The 17,753-nt window shown below is 38.8% G+C and overlaps 1 protein-coding gene across 1 annotated transcript in view; it reads right to left on the reverse strand.

Moving 5' to 3' along the window:
• Positions 1-17,753, reverse strand: part of KMT2C (lysine methyltransferase 2C) — a 301,079-nt gene that overhangs the window by 35,345 nt on the left and 247,981 nt on the right. Inside the window, exons 32-40 of the mRNA NM_170606.3 lie at positions 17,446-17,578; positions 16,993-17,207; positions 15,289-15,362; positions 12,705-12,887; positions 10,442-12,325; positions 9,565-9,857; positions 5,922-7,741; positions 3,862-3,973; positions 995-1,073 (exon numbers count right to left, since the gene is read on the reverse strand). Coding sequence (NP_733751.2) covers positions 995-1,073; positions 3,862-3,973; positions 5,922-7,741; positions 9,565-9,857; positions 10,442-12,325; positions 12,705-12,887; positions 15,289-15,362; positions 16,993-17,207; positions 17,446-17,578 — 4,793 coding nt within the window. The remainder of the gene's footprint in view (positions 1-994; positions 1,074-3,861; positions 3,974-5,921; positions 7,742-9,564; positions 9,858-10,441; positions 12,326-12,704; positions 12,888-15,288; positions 15,363-16,992; positions 17,208-17,445; positions 17,579-17,753) is intronic.

Genomic DNA, 17,753 nt, shown 5'->3' on the forward strand with positions numbered 1-17,753 from the left:
GAATATAATTATCAGCATAATAAATCTAAAGCATAACTGGCAGGGCAAGGAAGAAAACAGGACATACATTATAGTAGGTAGCTCCCTTTATAAAAAAAAAATCACTGACAAAAATACTGCATGAGTTTTACTTCCCCAGATACTGCTTGATATTATATTAAAAATATAGCATATCTTTCAACAAGGATGGGAAGAAAAAAGGAAAAAACAAATATAGCATATTGTTTTCTACTTGCTGTGTTTGTTTGTTTGAGATGAAGTCTCGCTCTGTCACCCAAGCTGGAGTGCAGTGGCGTGATCTCGGCTCACTGCAACCTCTGCCTCCCGGGTTCAAGCGATTCTCCTGCCTCAGTCTCCCAAGTAGCTGGGACTATAGGTGTGCGCCACCACGCCTGACTAATTTTTGTATTTTTTGTAGAGACGGGGTTTCACTACGTTGGTCAGGCTGGTCTCAAACTGCTGACTTCATAATTTGCCCATCTCGGCCTCCCAAAGTGCTGGGATTAGAGGAGTGAGCCACCGTGCCCAGCCATTTTCTAGTATTTATAGAAGTTTTACATTTTAAATATAATGGGTTTAATTCTAAAATGCAGGACATGAAAATGTCCTTCTGGAGTTAAAAATAAGTAAATAAAAATAAAACCAAAAGTCCTGAGCGTGTGGTTTTGCCATCAAGTGACTTTTTACCCGTAAGTATATAAATCCTTTTCAGAAATCACAGCCAATTTTTTTAACCTTAATTTGTCTTTTGTTTAAAAAGCAGTAAAGTGTCTTTTTGGTTACTTTTGGCTGTGCTGATAGATAAGGCTACTATTTAGGTTGGTGAAAAAGTAATTGCGGTTTTTGCCACTGGCAAATGGCATATGGTGAAATCCGCATTTACTTCTGCACAAACCTAGTACTACTCTCTAGCAGGGGACTTACTCTAAAGCATGAGTTTGCTGGGAAACAGAAAAGCGTGCATTCTAGAGGGACTCATTACAGGCAGTGTTACCTGAGGAATGGCCTGTGGTCCAAGGTTCTGTCCTTCACTGTTCTGTGTTCCAGTTACCACCTGGCCCATAAAAGGGAACCTGTCAAAACAGGGTACACAAGTATCAAGTGATGAGCGTTTAGAAATTATTAATATTAATTAAAAACTGTATTAGGTGCTTAACAGTTTTCTCTTCCAGAGAAGAACAGTGGCAATTTCTTCTTCATCAAAACACTAAAGCCCTACCTTTCATGTACTGGGCAGATGTGATCCTCACTGTAATTCGATGAAGTGTGCTCTTAGCACCCTCATGTTACTTATGATGAAAGTAAGATTCAGAGATATTCCGTAACCTTCCCCACAAGGACTAGTAGGGCTGCAATAAGAAGCCAGCTAGGCTGACTCTAGAGGTTTTACTCTATTATGTGCCTCACTCCACTTTACGATAAAATGAATTCAAGACTTCAGAATAAAAATAAGTTGATTTAGTTTTATAACGAACTCTAAGGAAATGTTTTCTCATTCCAGTCTGTGTTAAAAACTAATTGAGAGCTTAGTTATTTTATATTCTAAAACAAAAGACATTTCCCAATTTAAGAATTTTCATACATTTTCATACATTTCTATATCTAATGTTAAAGCAAATCAAAAATGGACGACTGACCAAGATCAGTCTGCATGGTTAAACGTGTTTAGAGAAATGTTACTCATTCTAATTAAAACTATAAAAACTTCACAGAAGCATTACTGCTTACATGAAAGTATTTCCTCTGGCATTATCAAATGCTTTAACGTATCAAGATATACATACAATTTTAAAAATGTATTCCAAAAGCTGTATATTACTATTTAAGTACTATTAGGATATAGAATATGTTTTTAAATTTTTTACTCAGGTTTTTCATTGATCTGTCACCCTACCCACTGCTACAGGTCTGGTCTAAATGATCTTCTAATCTGAATATCACACATGGTCTATCATCCTAACTCAACATATCACACTACTCTAAGAAGGGACTATCACTTCCATTTCTAAAAAGCAGTCAGTAGAATACTAAGCCATATACCTGATACATGACTAATGTATCTAACCGGCAGATGCATGATGCTAAAAGAGCATCAGATGCTGAAAGGCCTCAAATTCTGAGGTCCATATTTAAAACTAAGTGCTGGTCGGGTGCAGTGGCTCATGCCTGTAATTGCAGCACTTTGGGAGGGGGAGGCAGGTGGATCACCTGAGGTCAGAAGTTCAAGAACAGCCTGACCAACATGGTGAAACCCTGTCTCTACCAAAAATACAAAAATTAGCTGCGCATGGTGGCACGTGCCTGTGATCCGAGCTACTCCAGAGGCTGATGCAGGAGAATCGCTTGAACCTTGGAGGTGAAGGCTGCAGTGAGCCATTGCACTCTATCCTGGGCAACAACAGCGAAACTCCGTCTCAGAAACAAAAACCAAAACAAAACTAAGTAGTAAATAAAACTCAGCATTTCCTTGTTTTGAATATACATAGAAACTACAATATTATTAGCAAGTACCACAACTATCACCAATAGAAGACAGATTATTTTCCTATCGAGTGTTGCAGGCACCTAATAGATTAGTTATGTTCATCATTACTTTCAAATTATGGTTTATTGCTAAATTTGTTAATACTTTAAGGAACATATATACATAAATTTAATTATATTTTAATAACTATATTTCAAGTATAATCATTTCCTTCGTAATGCTATGTCTTAAATTTTCTGCATATAAAACATTCTGAGAATTTCAAAGGCTTCACTGGAATCCAAAAATATTCAAGACATAAAACAGTTAGGAATCTCTATGATAGAGAAATAGTGTTAATAAATATTGCTCAATAATGAAAATCATTGGAAACCACTATCTCTACTTTGATCTCAAAAATGCTTCTTAACCATGTCCAAAGTATCTCAACAATTGAAAAGAATTATACCCTTAAGAATTCAAATTTCTTTGAAATATATACATCTTAAATTCGTGCAAATTTTATATTCAATTCTATAATCATCCACATTTTTTATATAAAAGTTTTTCAACAAGATAACTAGACTAAATTGAGGCTCTATGCTTACTTTATTGACAGAGGTTCTCATATAGTAATACACGTAAGACTCATTCATGACGCTTGCTAAAAATACAGACACACAGGCAACCATCTCCAGATATTCTTATTTAGTAGGTCTGCAGTAGAGCAAAATAATCTGCATTTTAAAAAAATTACCCCATAATTCTCATGGTGGTCCATGATCAAAATTTAAGAAACAGTGCCATGTGGTTAACAACCCTTAGAGGGCATAATTTCAAAAATTCAGATATTGAAATAACCCCTACTGTCTTCTTTAATGCGTAATTTCTGTTTTTCTCCTAAGAGAGAAAAGACAAACTCTGTAACTCCAACTTCCAACTGTCCTCTTATCTATTCCTTGTAACTTTCTTTTTCTGATTCAAAACCGGTTTGGGAACATTTTATTTTAGAACTGAATTTATAATTGCTTTAATCACTCAGTGTCTTAACTGAAAAAAATCTTAGATAACATGAACAATTCTAAAGGTATTTAAAAGAGCACAGACCTAAATACTTTGACTTGAGTAATCAGGAAATCCAATCTTCCAAATCTTTTTAAGATGTTTTACATTTACCATCCTTGAGACTAATGCTCTTAAACTGGTTCTTACACTAATTTCTTAAATTGGTATAGCATTTTGTATCTGATCATATCGAGCTGATGCCATGACAACTTAAATAGTGTTGTTCATTCCTAGACAAGGGCTTTCCATTTTCTGTATGTTTTTTCTAAAAACTAGTAATGATTTCATGAATGTCTAGATGCCCAGTAGAAACAAGCAGCCACTCCACCTACCTGCTCATCACCATTGGTGGCATGCCCAGATTGTTTTGTGCCATCACTTTATTTATACCTTTAAGGGCCACCATTTTGGCTTTCATTATAGGATCTGTAATTGCATCAAAATCTAGAAAAGAAATATAAAGTTACTTATTTCATAGTAATTAGTTCAACGTACACTAAGAAGTAATTCAAATATTACAAGCTCTTAAATTTTATTATTTAATAATCATTACAGATTTCTGAGATGGCAACCTTATCCTGGGTTTAATCGCATCTCAGTAGTCCTTAACTGAATCATGCTTTAATACCTTAGTCCTGCAGGAATTAAAACAAAAAGTCAAGTTTAAGGGAGATTATAAGCAATAATCTAAAGCAATGCAATTAATTTCCTTTCATCCAAACTTTTGCAATGCTAATCAGAATGGCTTCTTTAGTAAATATAACATCACAAATAAGAATTTGCAATACTAAGGAATTCTACTAAATTAGTTATCACTCTTAAAAGAAAAATGCACCAATTTCTTAAGGGTATAACCTCTCAATAAGAAGCTACTACGAAAAAACCTATTTGCATCTAAATGAAAAAAAGGGAGCAAAATGATGAAATTGGGGATATATAAAATGGAATGTCAATTTTATTATTTAGAATAAGGCACACTGCTTAGACACGTGCCCTTTGATTGCTAATTCTTATTCTTAGAGGCACTGAGGCATTTTGACTGCATTGCTTTTGTTGTTTTTAGAATCAGTAAACCATTAGAAACAAGTTAAAGAGGTTTATATAGCAAAAAATCGCCAAGCATTTGTCATACACAAAAGGACAGTAAGAAGCTTTATTTCCATCATAATTTTCTTAAATTCATCCTTCCATGACTGAAAACATATGGCAACAATGGTTGGAATGTAGGAACTAAGAAGACAATTAGTTTCTATTAAACAATTCCATAAATAATAGAATTGAGGGAAGTTTGTAACTCAGTTTTGAATCTCTTAATTTACCTGGAAAGAATCTAAAACTCTTCGTTGTTTTCATTTTTTTTTTTTTGAGACAGAGTCTCACTCTGTCCCCCAGGCTGGAGTGCAATGGTGCGATCTCGCCTCACTGCAACTTCCGCCTCCTGGGTTCACACCATTCTCCTGCCTCTGTCTCCCGAATAACTGGGACTACAGGCGCACGCTGCTATGCCCAGCTAATTTTTTGTTATTTTTTTTTAATTATTATACTTTAAATTCTGGGATACTTGTGCAGAATATGCTGGTTACATAGGTATACATATGTCATGGTGGTTTGCTGCACCCATCAACCCGTCATCTACATTAGGTATTTCTCCTAATGCTATCCGTCCCCTAGCCCCCCACCCCCGACAGGTTCCAGTGTGTGATGTTCCCCTCCCTGTGTCCATGTGTTCTCACTGTTCAACTCCCACTTATGAGTGAGAACATGCAGTGTATGGTTTTCTGTTCCTGCATTAGTTTGCTGAGAATGATGGTTTCCAGCTTCATCCATGTCCTGTGTTGCCCAGGTTGGTCTGGAACTCCTGAGCTGAGGCAATCTGTCTGCCTCGGTCTCCCAAAGTGCTAGGATTACAGCCGTGAGCCACTGTGCCCAGCCAACTGCTTTCATTCTAAAGCTCAAGGAGGGCCAAGCAGGGTGGCTCACGCCTGTAATCCCAGCACTTTGGGAGGCCAAAGCAGGCGGATCACCTGAGGTCAGGAGTTTGAGACCAGCCTGGCCAACATGGTGAAACCCCGCACCTCTACTAAAAATACAAAAATTGGCCAGGCATGGTGGCACGTGTCTGTAGTCCCAGCTACTCGGGAGGCTGAGGCAGGAGAATCACTTGAACCCAGGAGGTGGAGGTTGCTGTGAGCCGAGATCGCGCCACTGCACTCCATCTTGGGTGACACAGTGAGACTCCGTCTCAAAACAAAACAAACAAACTCCTCAAGGAGGAATAGAAAAACTCAGTGCTTTATTCCAACTGTAATTCTAATAATAAAATCTTATAAGCATATCGCATGCCACTCTAATACCCATAGTAATATACGTTGAGACTCAAGAAAACTCCTACCAATATTAGGGAAGAACGGTTCTGATCGCTGACGAATCATGGCTTGCATCTGTCTTTGCTGCTGCTGTTCTTGCCTTTCTTGATCCAAAAGATCCTGTAGAAGTAGAGGCTGTTCTTCTAGAAGAAGGGGCCTCTCTCTATTCTGCTGTGCTAATGTTTGAGGAATCATTAGCTGTTGGGGTCCAGACATGCTACTGGTACCAGACTGACTTGTTTGAGGCCCAGTTTGAGTTGCAGGTTTTCCTGTCCCCAGACTGTGGTTAACTGTTGATTGACCTGGAATGAGCCCTGGGTTTACCTGCACACCCTGAGAAAAAACATGGTTTACCCTAGAGACTACTGTCACATTAGAATTCATGGCATTATCCAAAACACGGCCAGGCGGTGCTATGAAAGGAGGCAAACTTGACACATGATTGGATGGGGAGGCCGGCAGAGTTGGTGGTGGTGGAGACCCCGATGGCCTAATGTCTGAATTATCAGATTTCTCATTAGCAAGTAAACTTGAGAGAACTGGAGTTGATCCAGTTATGCCACAAGAGTTTATTACATCTTGAGCAGGTAGTTGAGTGGATGCCTGAATGACATTTGCACTGGGGCCAGCAGTTTCTCGATTGGTTCTTTTCTCAAATAGATCTGGATCACAAGGATGCAAAGAAGTCTTTTCTCCATCATTTAGGTCTGAGTGAGCAGAAGCCTGTGAGCAAGGAGTGTCAACATTATCTTTATTCTCATCATTTTTTTCAGTTTCACATTTGGATTCCACCTTAGAATTTGGAGACAGTACTTCCGTTTTTACCTCATTGGTAACAGTGGATTTTTTCTGTGGTGAATGTTTATCAGAGAGAACCAGAGTTTTGTTTTCTTGTTCCTTTTTTTTTGGTTCAACAGATACACACTGATTATCTAACTTATCATCAATTGGAAGGTCTAGTTCCTCATTAAACATGCTTTTCTTATCTCCCATGTCAAGTTCTGGATCTGTATATGCAATGATATCAAACTCTCCTGACCTTAAGAGGTCATCCAGGTTGGGATCATTAGTTTCCAAATTATCTAAAGTATCCAATTCAACTACCTTGCCATCCTCTGTATCTAAATTTAAGTTTTCAAGATCTTCATCATCTAAGTCTTTGACTTCAACCCCCTCAAGGTCTTTAACATCCAGTTCCTTCACAGAAGGGTCATCAGAATCAAGTTTTTCCTCTAGACCATCAGAAGGCTGGGTGGTTATCTGTAAATTATCAGACGTTGTTTCAGACGGTACAGATGTTGACAAAGGAGCTTCTGAAAATTCACCACCTAGTGGATGGTTCAGAGTCCTCATGACCATAGAAGATGAATGGACAGAATGACCTTGCTCTTGTTGAGATGGTGGCACTTGTTCCAAATCTGGGTGCACAGGTAGCTGATTAGGTAGACCCTGGGGAGGTCGTCGCATGGGGTCTGTGTGTCTAGGGCCCGGAAAGTCTGGCCGGGGAATGAAGTTTCCATGTCTCAGATTAGAAGATGCCTCTACAACGCTGCCAGGTGGAGCACTGAAAGGCAGCCGTTGCCTTCCGTCAGGAGCCCTATGTCTCAGTTCAATATATGCTTGGCCCAGTATGTTGTGCTGCTGAACTGGCAAGCTCTGTGGTGAAAAATGCTGAGGAAGTCCAACTGGATTATTCATTTGTGAGTTATTTAAAGGCCTAGGCATATCTACAGATACTGATCTTCTTAGCTGTGGAGAAACTCCAGATCCCTGTATTTGCTGAGGAGGCACAAGGAAGCGCTCTTGACTCGGCATGGTACCATGACTACCTCCTGGAAATCCAAATCTTTTAAAAAAAAAAAAAAAAAAAAAAAAAAAGCAAATAGGTATTATGTTAAATTTAGAGTTAAGTTGAAAAAAAGAAAAGTCTTCAATTAAACTGTACATACAAAATGTTGCCAAATACTATGACTTACAAAAGCAAAGCTATCACCATTAAAAAGTATTTACAGTATTCATATGCAAGTAAGATTTTGCTAAGAATCCTATAATGAACACCATATCTGAGCTCTAAAGGCTTAAGATTTAACAGATAACAAAAATGAAGACAAAGGAAGAACAACCAAGCAGATGAAATCAATTGTTCAGAGATAAGAACAATACTACTGGACTTTTTCAGGAAGAGTTTCTTTTATCTATATTTAGGGAGGTTCGATGGAGGAAGCTGATTCGGGGATGATGTTTGAATGAAGATAGGTCTTCATACCTATTGAGGGACTTACAGGCCTCAGTACATGAGACTACAAAGGCACAGGTTTGATGATGGGATAGAATAAACTTAGAGAAAAGGACAAGTAGGCCTCATCTATAAAGATTAAGTAAATGTATAAATTGTTGGACTATTTTATATTGTACTTCCTTCTAGACAGGATTACAGGCAACTTACACAGAATACAAAGCATAGCAAGAGGCATAAATTATAACAAGGTGGAAGAAAAAAGGGAAATTAAGAGTAAGATTACAGGCAACTTACACAAAATATAAAATGCAGAAAGAGGCATAAATTACAACTAAGGTAGAAGAAAAGGAAACTAAAAGAATATAACATGGAGGTAGAGATATAAGACTAAAAGACATAAAACTAAAAAGCATATCTTAAAGAACTATTTCCTTATTATAACTAGGGCATAGGTTTGGCTTTGACTTTAGCCACTTTGAAAAAGGAAACATTCTTATGATTCATCACCACTAACTTACAACCCTATCTCACCATGGAAAGTTCCTAAAGGGAAAGTCCTTTCAGTTCGGAAATCTCTAAAATTTATTATTATTATTTTTTAAATTGAGACAGAGTCTCGTTCTGTCTCCCAGGCTGGAGTGCAGTGGCGTGACCTCGGCTCACTGCAACCTCCACCTCCTGGGTTCAAGTGATCCTTTTGTCTCAGCCTCCTGAGTAGCCGCGAATACAGGTGCAGTGCCTGCCGCCATAGCCGGCCAATTTTTGTATTTTTACTAGAGGCAGGGTTTTACCATGTTGGCCAGGTTGGTCTCGAACTCCTGACCTCAAGTGATCCGCCCACCTCGGCCTCCCAAAGTATTGGGATTACAGGCCTGAGCCACTGCGCCCAGCCTAAAATTAATTTAGAATGTAAAGTTAAAAGGTAGAAATTTGGAGAGAGGACAAGTCTCATCACATCGTAGGAGGCTTTGCCTACGCAGAATAGCTACATTTTGAGGATGTCATATGATAAACTGCATCATTAAGGGTGCAAGGTAATGCTAACACAGTTAATACTTAAAAACAAAGGTAATGTTTTCAGAGTCTGTAGAGTTCTTAGAGGAAAAAAATGTCTATGACCTCTCATTAGCACTAAATAGCAGATTATATATATTTCAAAGGGGAGAAAGAAGTAGAAAGCAGTAACAGCTTCCTGATTAATACTAACTTCATTTGTCTATTTCTTTTAAAAAATTTTTAAATTTGTTGAAGAGGTTGGGGGGGGGGGGGGGTGGTCTCACTATATTGCCCAGGCTGGTCTCAAACTCCTAGCCTCAAGCAATCCTCCTGCCTCAGCTAGTAGCTAGGATTACAGGCACAAGCCACCACACCCAGCTCTGTTTCCCTCTTCTAATAGCAATTTAAATTCGGCAGGAAATTAAAAGCATTACCTAAATCCATGAGGTCTCATCCCCATACTAGCAACATCAGGAGGATAGGGTCCACGCTGATCTTTTGGGAAAACAGCATATCTAGGTCCTAAAGGAGGGGCAACAGGAGACCTAATGTTCCCAGGATAGGGAGGTGGGGGTCTGGTGAAAGCCTGGTTAACATTCTCTGGTTGCCAGTGTTGAAGAGGCCCTGGATGAGGCACTGCGGGTGAGTCCTGTGACCCCTTCTCCTGTCGACCTGCAATCTTCTTCTGCTGTTGCTGCTGGAGAATGATTTCACGTAACTTCTGCCGCTAAATGGGAAGAAACAAAAATCACTGGGATTTGTGGTAATTAATGGCTTTTTAAAGGTTACTGGCTTTTTATTTTTAGATATGGGATCTTGCTATGTTGCCCAGGCTGGCCTCAAATTCCTGGACTCAAGTGATCCTCCTGTCTCAGCCTCTCAAGTAGCTGGGATTACAAGCATGCGCCACCGTGCCTGACAGGTTAGTGGCTTTTTAAATCCTGATACTTTCATTATGTGGCTATGGTAATGTTTCAAAGTTTGATGAAATACCAGTTACATTTAACTATTCAATATATTAGGAAAAATAATTTGATGATTTGGGTCCTTTTCCTTGCCAGACAACTATCACAAAACAAAGCTTTAATATTTAAGGATTCCCCTGCGAATTCGTGAAAACTGAAATCAGATACAGAATAAATTAAACTGGTGTTAATTTCATCAATTTCATTTTTCTTTTTTGCAGTATGACAAACTCTACAGAATAAAAAAAATAAAACATTAACTCCTGTGTAGAAATTACTCAGTTTGATGAAATGAACAGCTTCCTCAAATAATACATTTAAAACTGAGAACATACAATGTGTTTACCTGTCTCAATTTCTCTGTATCTGCTTGGGCCATATTTACAGTATTCTGTGTATCAGTTACTCCTGAAGTTGGCACAGGTCCAGGAAGTTGGGAGACACCAGAGAACTGCTGGCCTTGGGAGTGCATTGGAGAGTTTGAAGATGCACAGAAGCTCCCCTCTGATCCAGGCCTTGGCTGATCAGCAACATCATGGGCAGTTTGACTTGTTCCAAAAGAGTCAGACTGAGATCTTGGAGTCATTGGAGACTGATCATAGGGATCACGGGCAGCAGATGGGGAAACACGGCTAAATGTGTCTGAAAGACCAGGTCCAGGGGGCCTAGGTGTCTGGGAACATGTATCAGGTGGCCTTACCAACGGGCCAGGTAAAGCTGGTCCTCGGTTTTGTGCTGCTTGCAGGAAAGGATCCTGATTTGGCATGAGGACTGGTCTTGTCATTGAGGACCTAGTAAAACCCTCTGAAATCCTTGGCCTTGGTGTTGCTGGTGGCTGAGAGTAAGGGACAGAAATTCCAGGTCTTGGTGTTCCAGGAGGATGAGCATATGGATCAGAATGCCTCTGATTTGTTACAGGTGTAACAAACAAGTCAGTTTGTGTAGATGGTCTTGGGGTTTGGGGCTGCTGACTATATGGGTCAACAGTAGTAGGCCGGGGAGTTCCAGGAGGTTGAGAGTAAGGGTCTGTATTGGACCTAGCTGTTCCTGAAGATTGGGAATAAGAATCTACAACAGGTCGTGGAGTTCCTGGGGGTTGGGAGTATGGGTCCTGAGATGTTGGCCTTGATATGGTTCCAGGCTGGGAAAAAGCCCTTGAAGGATGGGCAAAAGATTCATTCACTGCTGGATGTGGGGTAAGGGGAGGCTGACTATATGGATCATTTGACTGATTATGAGAAAAATTATCTATAGGTCTTGGTGTCAAAGCAGGCCTTTCATAAGGGTCAACAGACAATCGCCTTGATGCCTGTGACACTGATCCATAAGGATCCTGAGAGGATGGAGGAGGTTGCATTGGAGTCTTAAAAGGTCCAGGACCACTATCAAGAGGTGCAGGTGTCAACAAGGGTCGTGCATATGAGTCAGGTATCCTTTGTCTTTGAAACACATCTGCCCTAGGAGATGGTTTAGTAAAGTGATCACTGGTTCCAGCTGCTATAGGGCCTTTTGCAGTTTGTTCTGAAACTACAGGAGACCGGGATAGGCCCAAGGATTTGGGAAATTGATCTGTCATCACAGGCCTAGGTGTGTCTGGAGGTTTTGCATAGGGGTCATTATTTGTCGTGGAAGAAGAACATAAATCTCTGACAGGGGATGGCCTATTTGCTGTTGTCTCATTCATTTGAAGGGGCCTAGATACCGATGATAAAGGTGTACAGTTTTCCACTGGTGCAGCAGAATTTCTTCTGGAAAAACTATGGCCCACAGGAGGTGGTCGAGGGGTACCAACCATTTTTGCATATGGATCCATTGGAGATGGTGGTCGTGAGTTAGAGGACCCAGGTGAAAACACTTGCGGTGAGGGTGGCTGAGAAGTCTGAGCCTGAGAAAGACTATCCTGGATGGGAATCCGGGATGGGGCTGGAGGAGGAGGTGGAGCTTGTGGCTTTACAAACACATCATCTGAAGATGTAGACGTAGGGGTACTGGGTGGCTGTTTTGTAAACAGTTCTTTATGGAATGACTGTGCAGGAGACATATTTCCATTGCCAGGCTGAGGTGTCAAGGGACTCTGTATCCCACTACTTGGTGTATCTGAACCAGACTGCACCAGAAGATGCTGAGAACCAAATTGCTGTTGTTGCTGCTGCTGCTGCTCATTTTTCACCTGTTCAAGTTTCTGTGTGGCTTCAATTTTAGCTTGCTGCTTACTTTTCTGACGCATTTGCTATTAAAATAGAAAAGAAAAAGCAATCATATTTAGGTTAAGGAAGAAAACTACCATCATGGGGGGAAAAAGCAACAGAAAGTTAATTTGTTTGATGTCAGCGCTACCAGATTGCTCCCATATTAGATTATGAATTCCTGAAGAAGAGAAATTACTCATCATGGTATGTTCCATTTGTGCCTAGGGCAGTATATTGTTTATAATATTTCAATAAATTTCTCAAATCAATTTAAATATATTTTACTGAAAAGAGAAACAAGTCTATCCTAAATCAAATTTTCATGGTCTAAGAACTATATTCTAAAATAATAATGCAAAGACCTCCCTTCTCAAAACAAAAATGCAACTTCAAAAAGTAGATTATCCAAAAATTCCATACCTGTCTAAATTTCCATTCCTGTTCATGTTCTGATTCTCTTTGCTTTAAAGGATCTTTAAAAAGCTCCGAATCAATACGAGAGCTGGGATCAATGCTATCTTGCTGTTGCTGCCTTTTCATGGAATCATTTGACATCTGTACTTTATTAATGCGTAAAGCAGCTCTGTTATCTCTGGCTTTTTGCTTTGACAAAAGAAGAGAAAAAAATTTCCCAGATTATGTTAAATGTTTTAAGGAATAAAATAAAACTATCATGAACTTTCTCAAATAAAAGAAAAAAAAGTCAGGTAAAATAGCTGAAATACTTACGGCACCTCCCAAAAAAGGATCTGGACACTAACTCATCTTCTCTCTTTACAGTGCATAGTACCTATCAGTTGAGGATATATTTCTATGTATTTGAATTAAGCTTAAAGATCCTAGGTGTGATTTAATATTTTAGCTCCTAGTTTTCTTAACATATCCTTAGAAATTATGTCTCCTTCAATTTAGAAAGAAGGGGCTGGGGCCAGGCATGGTGGCTCATGCTCGTAATCCCAGCACTTCGGGAGGCCAAGGCGGGTGGATCACCTGACGTCAGGTGTTTGAGATCAGCCTGACCAACATGGTGAAACCCCACCTCTACTAAAAATACAAAATTAGGCCAGGCGCAGTGGCTCACACCTGTAATCCCAGTACTTTGGGAGGCTGAGGCGGGTGGATCACCTGAGGTCGGGAGTTCGACACCAGCCTGACCAACATGGAGACACCCCATCTCTACTAAAAATACAAAATTAGCCAGATGTGGTGGCACATGCCTGTAATCCCAGCTACTCGGGAGGCTGAGGCAGGAGAATCACTTGAACTCAGGAGGCGGAGGTTGTGGTGAGCCAAGATTGCGCCATTGCACTCCAGCCTGGGCAACAAGAGCAAAACTCTGTCTCAAAAAAAAGAAAAAGAAAAAGAAAAATCAGCCAGGCATGGTGGCACATGCCTGTAATCCCAGCTACTTGGGAGGCTGGGGCAGGAGAATCGCTTGAATCTGGAAGGCAGAGGTTGCAGTGAGCCGAGATCGCACCATTGCACTCCAGCCTGGGCAACAACTGTGAAGCTCCATCTCAAAAAAAAAAAAAAAAAAATTTAGAAAAAAGGAAAAATATCCAATCAGTCTTAAAAAAAAAAAAATCTGGATATTTGAAACGTATCATTAAAGAAATCACTTAAAAATTTAAAAATTCTGTCATTACCTAATTCAAGTCAAAATAAAACACAGCATATTAACACATCTATATATATATATGTGATAGAGCATATACACACATATATGCTCTATCCAAAATAATCACTGTAACTGAAAATATGTGCACTGGGGAACAAGCTGGAAAATAACTATATATATTTTCCAACAATAATACAGATTTAATATGCTTTAAAACGAAAGCAAGGATTTGGTTCCAGCTGACAATCTTAATTTGGCTCTTTGGGAGAAAATAATTTACCATATGAACTGCGAATCTTATAAAATTACCTAATAGTTCATGGCAAAGATCATGTGTCAAAAACTCTTTAAACATGTCTAAATATTTCTCTTTCAAGATGCACAAAGATTCTCTATGAAACCTAACAAGAAAAGAGGTGACTGTGGAAGACACTGAGGCATGCCAATCCAGTCTCCAAATTTAGTACAGTTGTCCCTCTGTATCCATGGGGTATTGGTTCCAGGATTCCCTGCAGATACCAAAATCCACAGATGCTCAAGTCCCTTATAGAAAATGTCACAGTATTTGCATATAACCTACACATATCCTCCTGTATACTTTCTCCCTTTTTATTTTTTGACCTAGCAGGGTGGTCTTGCTCTGTCACCTAGGCTGGAATGCAGTCGTACAATTCTGGCTCACTGAAGCCTCAACCTCTCAAGTCTCTCAAGTAGCTGAGACTACAGGCATGCGCCATCATACCCAGCTAATTTTTTCATTTTTTATAGAGATGAGGTTTTGGCTATGTTGCCCAGGCTGGTCTTGAACTCCTGGGCTCAAAGCCATCTGCCCACCTTGGCCTCTCAAACTGCTGGGATTACAGGTGTGGGTCACTGTGCCTGGCCCCTCCTGTATACTTTAAGTCATCTTTAGATTACTTGTAATACTTAACACAATATAAATGCTATGTAAATCGTTGTTACATTGTTTTAAAAACAATGACAAGGGAAAGAGTCTGTACAAGTTCAGTATAGATGTTTTTCCAAAATATTTTTGATCCATGGTTGGTTGAATCCACAGATATAGAACTCATGGATACAGACGGCCAACTGTACCTCTGCTGAAGAGATAAAACAATTTTAAAGTGAAATGAATTACTCCTTCCCCCCTAAAACAGCTGATTTTCAATCTTCAACGTTTTGGTTCTATTAACTTGCTTATAAAAATGTCACACTCTCTATTAAGACATAAGGAGTTAGAAAATCACTTTAAAAATAAAGTTGCTTGTTGTACAGGTACTAACAAGCATTTTCTGAAATGGAAATTTGTTTTTTATTAACCTAATACAAATAAGGTTCAAGCACTGTATTTAAATATTTAAAAGATAGAGGAGTTTCTTAAAATACCACATATGGTGCTCTTTCTTGTGAGCTTGCTTTTCTCCACAATTTGGCAATTTGCTTCACTCTAGTAGTCCAATCTGCAACAAAAGAACAGAGTATAACACTTTCTCAGAGCCATGCTAATGATGTGTTGTAATAAAGAATGTTGATGAACTGCTGACAGTTAATCTTATTCAGGCCGTATTCTCATGAGGTCATAGACCTATATTAAGTTTTTTACAAAGAACAAAGATCGTGGCACACTGTAGGCCAAACAAACGTTTTCTAAATGAAGTGCTGCCTTATTAACAACGTAGCTTGTAAAGTTGGGAAGTTTTTAGATTCAAGGGACAAAGTAGCAAAAATGCAAGCCAGACATAATAAATTCCCTCTGGTGGTAAGACACCACCAGAACCAAAGTACAAGTTTGTAAAACATCTGTGCTAAACAGAAATCTATCAATTTGACCTACCAGAAGTAAACAAAGTCATAAATAAGCATCTCACTAGCATTTGTGGACAACAAACACATGGAAAAGTAATGAGTTCAAACCATTTATATGAAACTCAGTGTCATGACGGTATACAAAATGAAGAAGCCTGGGTAAGATCAACAGTTAATGATAAATACAGAAATTATTTATTCCACATTACAAAAAGAAAGCAAGCTTCCAAAAAGCCAATGAAAATGAAAAATCAGTTCACAGACCAACAGCTTTAACACAGTATTTCATGAGGTTCTTGAATCACAAAGTAAAATTATTAAAGAAAATTACTTTTAAAAAAGTTACAGCTCTGCTGTAAGGACAATTTGTGCTGACACAAAATGACAACATACCCATGTACGTTCATAAACAGCAAATGTAAGCATGGAAAGAAAGTGGCTGAAGAATGGGATACTGCCTTCACAGGTCTCCCTGCATCAAACCACTGATTTCTATTGTTAGATAAAAAGCATTTCATTTATTACAATACATAATGAATAAAGTCCCATGAAGACGCCAATCCAAAAAGGTACCTAAATACAGGGGTCATCCAAATGAAAAGTCACTTCCAGGTACCCCTCTAGTAATTTAAGAGTTTGTGTATTGATAGATAGCTGGGAAACTATTGCAAAACTGAGTTTGAATAACTTTTTCAATCCTAGTTTGTCTGATACCATGAACTCAAAATAATAAAACCGCATTGCTTGCATATATTCAATAATTGACATTTCATTAATCCAAATTTCTCATTCACTGGTTAATCAGAATTTTCACAAACTGTACTATTATCATCTGTTTTTTTCAAGAGGCAGTGGTAATAGCTGGGCAGTCAGGGAAAGTGAGAGGGGAAGAAGGGAAGACAATATTGAATTCGTTTCATAAAAACACTATTTAGGATTCACTGATTTAGCCTAGCAGTATTTTTGATTAAATGATAGTTTGGGTTCTAGAAATTTTTTAAAGAATCACATAACACGGATTTCTGCATATTAATAAGTACTGCTAGGAGCTGAAAAACGGACCATTTCACTAATTGAAACTAATTTTTGGGAAATATGAGGATGGATGCAGGGTCTAGGACAAAGTAAAATGCAAGATGTTTCTAGACATCTAGGGAATCTTCATGTTGTGGGTCATCATAGACAAAAATTAGTTAAGCTACCTTTCTATTGCAGTTAAAAAAAAAAAAGGTATTGCACATGTGAAAATGTTGGTAAAACAGAAATAATATATTCATGGCTTACCAGGGAATTCTTCCTTTAAGTTGGGGAAATTAATATTGGTGTAGAGAACTGGGGCAACAGTTGCCATTTCACCCAGAGCCTCCTCTTTCTCCCACTTAAGCGTGCTTCTCTGGGCATTCGACATTGTGTCATTTTCTCCTTCCACAGTGGGAGCTGATGATGTCCAAGAGTTGTTAGGATCACTTGCCATTGGATTAAAGGCTGAATTTTTATCCCTGGGAAAAAATAAATATCTTTACTTTATGAACATAAAATAACTTCTTAATATATGTTCAAGTATAGCTTTCATTAAAACCTATTACAAAACAGTTAAAAGTAACATATTTATAGCAAAAGCCACAATAAACGCAACATACAATAATATCATACACAATCATTTAAGCAGACTAATTTATATATAAATCAAACAGAAATTAGTGCAATTTAAGTTTCCATAGAAAATAAGGCTTGTACCTGGCATCAGGATAAGAGGATTGTGCAATTGCAGAGAAAGTTCCCAGTCCGCTTCCAGGTGGCAAAGAATTATGTGGGAGATGAGGACTGGATCCAATAAGGCCATTCATGAGAGGCATCCGTGAAAAAGCATCTTCAGAGAAAAAAATAATTCCGTTGGCATGATATTCACAAGTAACAAGGAGTTGAAGTAAAGCTGGCCCTTGAACAACATGGTTTTTAACTGCATGGGTCCACATAAACACACATTTTTTTCAACTGAATGTGGATAGAAAACACAGGGAAACCCATGCATAGAGAGGACCAAC

Source organism: Homo sapiens, chromosome 7 (genome assembly GCF_000001405.40).
Source record: "Homo sapiens chromosome 7, GRCh38.p14 Primary Assembly".
Classification (NCBI taxonomy): domain Eukaryota; kingdom Metazoa; phylum Chordata; class Mammalia; order Primates; family Hominidae; genus Homo; species Homo sapiens.